The 9,786-nt window shown below is 42.4% G+C and overlaps 1 protein-coding gene across 1 annotated transcript in view; it reads left to right on the forward strand.

The window, feature by feature from the left end:
* Window positions 1–9,786, forward strand: part of SLC18A2 (solute carrier family 18 member A2) — a 38,317-nt gene that overhangs the window by 25,351 nt on the left and 3,180 nt on the right. The window contains exons 11-15 of the mRNA NM_003054.6: window positions 269–347; window positions 520–571; window positions 1,209–1,272; window positions 3,607–3,726; window positions 3,866–3,999. Of these exons, the coding sequence (NP_003045.2) occupies window positions 269–347; window positions 520–571; window positions 1,209–1,272; window positions 3,607–3,726; window positions 3,866–3,999 (449 nt within the window). The remainder of the gene's footprint in view (window positions 1–268; window positions 348–519; window positions 572–1,208; window positions 1,273–3,606; window positions 3,727–3,865; window positions 4,000–9,786) is intronic.

Here is a 9,786-nt window from a genome sequence, read left to right on the forward strand (position 1 = left end):
CCCACCACCAGCCAGAGATGGAGGCAAGATGAAGCAGTTGATAGAGAAAGGACTTTCATTTCTGGAGTGTCTCAGCAGCTTTGTGTGGAGGATAAGCCACGTGGGTCCAGACCGGATCCGGCAGGCGCCGGATATTAGCTGCTGGGGTGTGGGCCCCGGGGCTTCGTTTTATCTGCTCTCATCAACATTGTGGTGTCTACAGTTATTACTTTTTCTAACATATGACTGATATCAGCACTGATAAGGTCTCCTTTTCATAAATTTACAGGCGTTGCCTTCTTGCCAGCTAGTATCTCTTATCTCATTGGAACCAATATTTTTGGGATACTTGCACACAAAATGGGGAGGTAAGATGATATGAAAACAACACTCATTCTGTTACAATAATGTAGTTCTTTCAAAAAATTCTAAGTTGTTTCTGCCTTTGCTGTTACAAGTAATTGTTTTGATTTTCATTGAAAATTTGGACTAGAAAAAAATCAAATGATCATTTCTTGATGGTGCTTTTTCTTTTGGTAGGTGGCTTTGTGCTCTTCTGGGAATGATAATTGTTGGAGTCAGCATTTTATGTGTGAGTAAAAGATGGCATTTGACAAGTGGGAACAATCTGTGAATAAAACTTGCGCTTTGGGCAAGAATCACCAAGAAACATTTTACGTTTGAGTTTGTTGATGTTTTATTACAGCTTTCATTTTATTCTAATTTTTTATCATCTTAAAAATGTTTGGACAAGACTTTCCAAGGAGTGTATTTTCATTTTATGTCAGAAATTATTTAAAATGTTTTATTTCACAGTTTAACTTTTCCCCTGCATCATCTTAAGCTTGACAGTGTCTTAAACACTTCAGGACAACCAACCTGAAACAATAGCAAGATGTTTTTCTAGAATAAAATCTCTTCTACCAATGGCCAATATCCATCCCTCATGAGGCCTACTTGTTCTTGTCAAAACTTGAGGGTGGACTAGGCTGATCTTTCACATATGCCGGTGACAAGTTTTTCATGGTGGTCATAAAACTCGTTTCAAGCTTTGACTTTTAAAGATTTGGAGGGTCCGGTTCTTCACAAACCCCACCCTTCTTCCTCCTGTTTTCTTCAGAAGGGAACAGGCATACCACGCTCAGAGAAAACACAAGTTCAAGACTTTCCGAGATGATTTAGAGTTGGATCTCTTGTTATTTTAGCATAATGTTTATTTCCTCTTACAGATTCCATTTGCAAAAAACATTTATGGACTCATAGCTCCGAACTTTGGAGTTGGTTTTGCAATTGGTAAGTCACACGAACCTTGTGCCTACATTTAAAACCGCTTTTCCACTAGGAAGGGTTCTTCTTCCTCTGGTAGACTGTAGTTCCTCAACCTAAATTTCCAGAATCTTAGAAGGAGGCTGCAGGCAGCTTAGCTAAATTACAGCCTGTCGATTCTCCGTGTAAAGACACCTGCTTCTATGCACTAGTCATTTATTTCCTGAAAACCAGTATTTTTTAAAAGCTGATATTTACAGAAGGAAACTGATGCTCCACTGCTGGGGCTGGGCAAACAAAGGAATCCCTTGCACAGAGCTCATTTTTGTGGACTCCTCCCTATGAGCAGGTCTTCTCATGAGGCTGGGGGCAAAGGCTTCACATATGTATTTTGAAGAGGTTTTAGTACAGACAAAGCAGACTAATGTGTTGATGACCGCCTGTGCTGCAGGAATTCCCATGGGCAAGGAGATGGGCTTTTGTAATGTTAAGAATGATAATATGTTAGGAAAAATCTGTCACTATTTTGAGTGAATGGTATACTTTTGTCTCTTATTTATAATATACCAATTGATCATGATAAAAATAAGTGCTCAGTCCACCCCTGTAGAAGCAGGAACGCAACCTTTGAGTGGTACAGTGGCACAGCATGGCTTTCACTGAGGACAGATGGTAGAAGGCTGCTGAGGCTGGGGTAGAACTCAGTATGGTACTCTAGGTCCTTCTCAGGTGACCGTTTGCCTGTCCTCTGCCTTGCCTCCCCTTGTCCTCCACTGTCTGGTTGGCCCATCTTTTTAGGGAGGGTGCTAGTCCTCTGGCGGCTCCCCTTGCCATTCTGCAGGTCTGGCAGAGTTGCAGGTTGCTAACTGTACGGCCCCTGGCCTGCATCCTTTTGGTGCTTCCCTGCTTTGCTGTTTTCTGGTTCACTTGTCCCTCACCACTCAGCACACCTGCATGCCTGACCCACCTCCTGCCAGTCACACCTGGGCCACACGCTTAGACTATGGGTGTTTCCAAGGTGGAGAATAATAGGGGGGACCAGAACGCCCCAGAACTCCAAGGAGTCCGAGAGATCATCTGGCCCTGCTCAGAAATTATGTGTGTGTATGTATGTTTATGTGTGTGTGTGTGTGTATGCATGTGTATCCATGTATGTGTGTGTTGTGTGTATGAGTGTGTATGTGTGTGTTGTGTGTATGTGTGTGAACTAAAAGAAGCTAAAACACACATGCACACACATACATACACATACACACTCATACACAAACACACACATTCATACACACAAACACACATACACACACTGACACACGCATACACACACACATACACACATACACCCCCCACATAAACACATACACATACACAAATATACATACACACATATGCATACATACATACACGTAGATACACATACACATACAAACACCCACCCACATACATATGCACACATACACACATACATATACACACATACACACACACCTACACACATACACATACACACACATACACAAATACAAGTACATACACAAACACATATACACAGACACATACACATGCAAACACATGTACACACATATATACACATACATACACAGATACATATATACATATACATAATACACATACACACATGCATACACACATATACATAGACATACACAGATACATATATACATATACATACATACTCATAAATACACACATATACATACAGACATACACCCCAGCAACAACCACGACCAGCATTAGAATCTCGTCTCTTGAATAGTGGGGAGCAGGTAGCATAAAGATGGTGTGTGTTCAGAGTTCCTGGCTCAGACTCCCTGGCTCAGTGAGTGTGGTCAAGCCTCGCCTCTCTGAGTATTGGTTTCCTCATCTATAAAATGGGGATGCTCATGATTGGCTGCTGTGAGCCAGTGTCTGTGAACACACTGGCAGGGACTCAGAGGTTGGTGCCCTCCCCTCCACATGTGTCAGTGGCAGGCACATGAGGAAAGTTTCTTTCATTGAAATGGTGCTTGCTGCTTCCTAATATGTACAAGTGCTGGGGATATGGGTGAACAAAACCAACAGAAGAGTTGGGCATTTAGCAAAGAATTGAAGAATGAATGACAATTGAGATGATGCTGTGAGAGAACATCTGTATACGAGGGGAACCTGACCTCCTCTGGGGGTCAGAAAAGGCTTCCTTCATTCTTTCTACTCAAAGATTAGTATCACCCCAAGACTTGCAGGTGGTGATGACAGAAGGGGAAGAGCTGGCAGGGTGGTGAGTTTAAGACACACTCCCTGATATTCGGCCCATTTTGGGTTTACATCCGTTTTCTATACACTGTGTTCCCTGACTGTCTTCAGGAATGGTGGATTCGTCAATGATGCCTATCATGGGCTACCTCGTAGACCTGCGGCACGTGTCCGTCTATGGGAGTGTGTACGCCATTGCGGATGTGGCATTTTGTATGGGGTATGCTATAGGTAAGGACATTGGCTTTTCATAAGAACCTTTTACCTCAATACGTAATGGATAACGTCTACTAAAATTGTTTAAATCTTTGCATCTTTCAGTCTACAAGACATTTGGAAGAGCTTTATCTAATTCTCTGTTTCCTGAAAGGTCCTTCTGCTGGTGGTGCTATTGCAAAGGCAATTGGATTTCCATGGCTCATGACAATTATTGGGATAATTGATATTCTTTTTGCCCCTCTCTGCTTTTTTCTTCGAAGTCCACCTGCCAAAGAAGAAAAAATGGTAAGAAAAATTTAGGATGCAGTGAGCATTTCTTGATAATTTTAGCATGGCCTTCCTGATAGCTTCCTCATGGTTTCATTCTAAAGCCTTCAAACATAAATGGTGAGAATTCCTTTTTAGTTTGTACCACATAGAGCAGTTACTTCTTTTATTTTTTTATTACTGTGAAAGTTATTTCTTTCAAGCTTATGTTTATAAACTGGGAGAATGAAATTATTTTTGTACATAGATTAGCATCAGTGTTGCTCTTTTGTCGACCAAGTATAAACCTGGAATCATTCAATTTGATTTTCTATGGTTCTTGAAAATCTTGGACACAATCTTTCTGCCTCCTGTACTTATGCCCAAGGTTAGCCATTTGTGGTGCTGTTGCTTTTCTCATAACCCTTACAGCATTCAGTAATAGTTGCTGTCTTGTCTTTACTGTATGTAGGATTTTAGAGATGATTTTACGATTTTTATGGAAAAATCATTGTATATGGACTTTGGGGTATATGTGAACACACAGAACGATTTAATTCATAACTTTATGACCAAAATTATAGCCATAGGCAAGATACAGAGTATAAAGCATCCCTCTTTTGAAAAAGTCCAAATTAATTGATTCAAAATTTGAATTTTGAAATGCATGAGTCATTTTAACCTTTCTAAGGTATTTACCTTACCCAGCAAGGAGACGCTCAGTGTTTCTGATCATCTTTCTTATCTGGTGTTGCCAGTTTTTAAAACAGCAAATGCTGATAGGTACTTGTCCAGGTGAAAGGAGAGTGTCTTGGATTAAGGATGAATGAGGTGAACAAGAGGACATGCATTTTTGTGTTTGAATAGATGTGAGGTTTGTTTGTAATGTTCTCTTGGAAGTACATCAGAAGGTCTTTCTGACAGTGGAACTGAATGCATCTTAATGCTTTGGCATTTCCTGAACTGCCCTTTGATGCTTTTCCCCAAAAGGAGATTTAAAGACAAACCTTAAAATAAGGTTATGTGCAGCCTGTGTTTGTCTTGGGTGTTTTTTACATTCATTAATTCATTCCACATATTTTAAAATATATCAAGCACTGGGCACTGGCCTTGTGCCCTTTATTTTAAATAGGATTTAACTAGATACTTTTGAGTAATGCATGGCCCGTCTGACTCATGGAAAAGGTATGGAAGGTGCTGTGGAAATAACTCAGACAGAAGCCATCCCCTTGTCCTTCCCTCCGCTTGCTTAGATGCTTCCCCAGCTCTGAAAACCACATCACCTTCTCAGACCTCTCTTAGGAGACATCTGCTTTCCAGCTTGGGTGTGTAAATTTCAGATGCATCTTTGCTTGGCTGACCCTAGCATAATACCTTGCCGAAATGGAGTCAGAAAATTCTCAGCACAAATGCAAACTGCCATTCTGTTGCCATGATAACAGTTTAAGGCTGAATGGAGGTTACTCAATGTTTTTGACCAAAAAAAGTATATATGTGTGTATATGTGTTTGTGTGTGTCTGTGTGTGTGTGTATAAAATCACCTACAAATGCTCCTGTAGCCCAGGAAACTGTTTGAAGACTCCTGGGAGATAGTTAGGGCTAGCATGGGCCTGGGAGCCACACTGGCCCCACCATGTAGAGGCTTATGAGTCTTGGTTTCCTCCTCTGTTGCATGGAGAAATGATAACGTCTACCTCATAGGATTGTTGTGAGGATTAAATGAAAGAATCCCAACAGAGTGACTGGCCCTGTGGCTCAAAAAGTGTGTTCCTATTTCCAATATCACCCCACTCTTTCCTGCTTATCTAACTCTCTGGCTTCCCCCGTCAGTCCAGCAATACCTGAATTTTCTCCCTTTTTCCTCCTCTGTGATGTGAGAGTTTCCTTTTGCTATACAGACCCCAGAACTCCTGAATGGGCTCCCCTTGCCAAGCCGGCAAACATCAGTGGCTGTTGTGATGTCCGTTTGTGAACGGCAGCCTGATGGCTTATCTGTGGCCTTGGGGAAATGAATGAGGTCAGAGGATGAGCAGAGAATGTGCTTGCCCAGCCAACTACCACTGTGTTCCGCAGAAGGACTGGCAGAAGGCAGGCCTCAGTACCCCTCCTCTTTCCCCATTTAAACGAATACTTCAGTTCATGTTTTAAAAAAATGCTGAAGGAAGTGGAAGAGACGATCCTGAAAGGCCAAACAGTAAGAATTATAGGTTTCCAGGAAGCCACTTTCACTGCAAGATGTTACAATCCTTAATAAGCACCTAGCAAGATAAATCATTAAAAACTTGAGAAGGTGTGCATCTCGCTGCCCATCAATGATGCCCATAATTGAAGGCATCACATTGGATGCCATTTGACTGGCCTAATGGTGACATTTGAGAGTGGTGGCCAGCAGTTGCTGCCTACTCATTGTGCAAGCAGAGCAGGAAGCCAGCGGTGGCGGCCGACAGCACCTAATGATAAGGGGGCATGCAGGCAGGACAGCAGTGTGTGAGGGAGGAGGAAGAATCAATGACCATGCAGTTGAGAAACCCCAGAGCAGACAAGTGCTGGCGTTCAGGATGAGCAGTTGCCAAATGCTGGGGGATGTGAGGGCCAGAAGGCATACGACCCTTAGCAAATCATTCTTCCATTAGACAGCATCCTGATAACAAGGTGTTTGGACTTAAGCTGTTTTATATTGTAAGATATAATGCTGTTTTCATGGATCACAAGTGACAGAATCATGAACTAGTTTATAAGCATGTGAGTTTGTCTTCCATTTGGTTTACTGGATTTCTGTTTTTTATAATCAGCATTATCAGTATAGGTGGAGGAAAAAAACTGTTACTCAAGTCCCTCTGCACATACAGGAAATATCAACATTACCATTTGAGGAAAAGTGTCTTATAAGACAGTTACACGGTAGCGCTTCACTCTCAAAATTCCCAGTTGAGAAGAGCTGTGTTGCGGATTTTTTTTTCCAGGTTGAAGAATTATTTTTAAAGACAAGTCACGCTTCTTAATTTTACTCTTGAAGTTTCTAATTGTTGCCAAGACAAGAAATTAGGTGGTTTGAGGATTGCAGCTTTCTTTTCCTGGATGGCTCTGATAGTTGTTCCATAAAGCCCTTCCAGCAATAGCTCTGTTTTCTGGATGCCATGCGTGGGGCAAGGATGGGGTGGCCCGAGGCTGCTGAGATAGACCACATTCTGCATATTCTAAGTTGTTTATAGAATTTGTCCCTTTGCAGGTATTTAAATAGTGGGTGCAAAACCATCATTGCTTTTCTAGTTATGTTAAAGAGAATAAAACTTTCCTACTCAGAAGGCCCAGGACCTATCATCAAAATCTCAAAGACTGGCACTCTTATCTTTTAATGCTTTTATGGGTTCACTACCCCAGCTTTGTATTACTTATACTTTTCATTTGGTCCACCATGTTGGTTTGTTTGTACCACTTAGGAGATCCTAACTCATGAAAGGGGCATTTGGAGGGGCTGGGGCTCACCTCTCAGTAAGAGGGCTTTGCTCTGAATTCAAATGCCAATCCTCTCCTATTGATTTTCTCTTTGGTTGAGAGTCAAACACACCTTCCTCACCACAGCAGTGTGTGGAGAGCAGATTTAATTTACCTGCCTGCACTGCGGCCGCCCTACTTGTTCCCCGGGCACCTGACTGACCTGCTTGATGCTGTTCATGCCTTTCTTCATGGCACTTTTGAAACATTACATGCCACCTGGCTTATTTGTGTATAACTTTTTTTTAAAAAGTACAATTATTGCACAATAGATCTTTCAAGAGAGGTTTGGAAGCCAGTGAGCTAGGTTTTAAAGGCTACAGAACATTTAAAGGAGGAAAACTTCACCTGAAACAGGCTGCTAATAAATATGTTTTTGGTGAATTGACAAATGCTGGTCAGTTAAGTATGCATGATGCCAAATAGTCTGACTGAACTGCTTTTCCTGCAGTGCAGTTTTTTGTTGCGTTCCTATCATGTGCCCAGTCCTAGGTTCTGGGGTCCTTAAGATGACATATTCCTACATTCAGGTCTAATGTGGATGAGCCAAGAGATGGAAGGCAATTAGGAATAAGGTAGTGATGACCGTTCTTTATAAGGTGACCTGCCTGCCTGGGAGCCGTGCAAGGATCGAGGCCCCATGCCCTGCATTCCAGTTGGGTGTCCCAACTGGTATCTCACTGTGCCTCCTCAGCAGACCTCTGTGGTGGCCAGGCTGGCTTACTTAGTGTCCTGCTTGGTAAATAACTCATGTTTTACTCATTGCCACCTCCCTTGCTGTCCAAACCTTTTCCATCTTTCAAAGTTTACCTCAACTCCCGCCTCTATAGGATAGCGTTCCCTGGGCACTGAACCAGCAGTGAGCACTCCACCTGGGACCCTGGAGTCCCTGTCCTTGCCTGTGCAGGGAGGTAACTAAGATGCTGGGATAGGACCTTAAAGGCACTGAGATGCAACACCTAGTAGGTGTCCCGTCAGCTGTTGTCAGCCAGATGACAGTGCTGTAGTCTTAGATAATGCCATGTAACTAGGGCAGTGTTTCTCAAAGTTGACACTGTTGTCACATGAGGACAGGGCCCTCAAATTTCATTTTTTAACCTGCTCCATCTCTCCACCCCTACATTTCCTTGCGAATCATTAATCTGGGGGAGATGAGACATTTATTGTTAGGGGGGTTAAACCTTTGTGTTACATGGGGAGAACGGTCCTGGTGTACAAAGTCTAGTGCCGCCATTATTTTAAAAATTGAGCTCTTTATTGAATACAAGTATCAATTCACTTGGCAAGCAGCATAAAAAACAGTTAAGTTAGAAGCTGACAGGTTGAGCTGGCAGCCTAACTTAGAGGGTCAAGGAAGTCCTTATCTTCACATGTTACACAGATCACTGGATAATGTCTTGGGAAATGATAAATGGGTTAAGCACTGAGTCGAGTCTTATCTGGGGACAAGAGCTGGGAGTAATAGCTAACAGACAAGATGGGTTACAATAGGCCAACATCAGATACATTTTAATCTATTTAGATTTGCAAACTGCAAAAAAAATATTGGGGAGTAGTTCACATGGAGAAAAACTCAAGACATACCTGATAATTCATTTTAGTTGCACATGACGCCCCCTTGCCATCCTCTGTGCTCATCTAACTACCACGGAGTGCTGCAGGCGGCTCCTGTCTGCCCCATCCTAGCTGTACACCCCTCGGTCAAATTCTTTAACTGCTCCGTGCCTGTTTTCTCACCTCCCACAGAGGGTTATTGTGATGTATTGCCACTAAAATGCTTAGCATGGTCTTGGCATGATAAATGCCAGCTATCAAATATAAGCAAATACTATTGGACAATCTGGTTTGAAAGCAGAGCAGCACGTTTTTGTCACAGTTTTTAAATTTTCAGTAACAATAAAGGAGGGCATGAGAGTTTCATGCTCATCAGAAGAGGATTTTTAAAAAATCATATATTTTAGCTAGAGGACAGCCAGGATTGGGGACAGGCGGTCAGGAAATCACATGTGTGAAAAAATAATAGCTCTAGCATGTTTTGCCTACTAAGAAATCTAAGGGGCCATGACAATATGGTCTTAAAAGATTGGGGGCCAAGCATGGTCACTTGCACCTGTAATCCTACCACTTTGGGAGGTTGAGGCAGGAAGATCACTTGAGCCCAGGAGTTTGAGCAACCTGGGCAATGTAGTGAGATGTCATCTCTACAAAAAAAAAAAAATTAAAAATTAGCCAGTCTTGATGGCATATGCATGTAGTCACAGCTACTCGGGAGTCTGAGGTGGGAAGATGGCTTGAGCCTGGGAAGCAGCAGTGAGCTGAGATCGCACCAC

The sequence above is a fragment of the Homo sapiens genome, chromosome 10 (assembly GCF_000001405.40).
Source record: "Homo sapiens chromosome 10, GRCh38.p14 Primary Assembly".
Classification (NCBI taxonomy): Eukaryota; Metazoa; Chordata; class Mammalia; order Primates; family Hominidae; genus Homo; species Homo sapiens.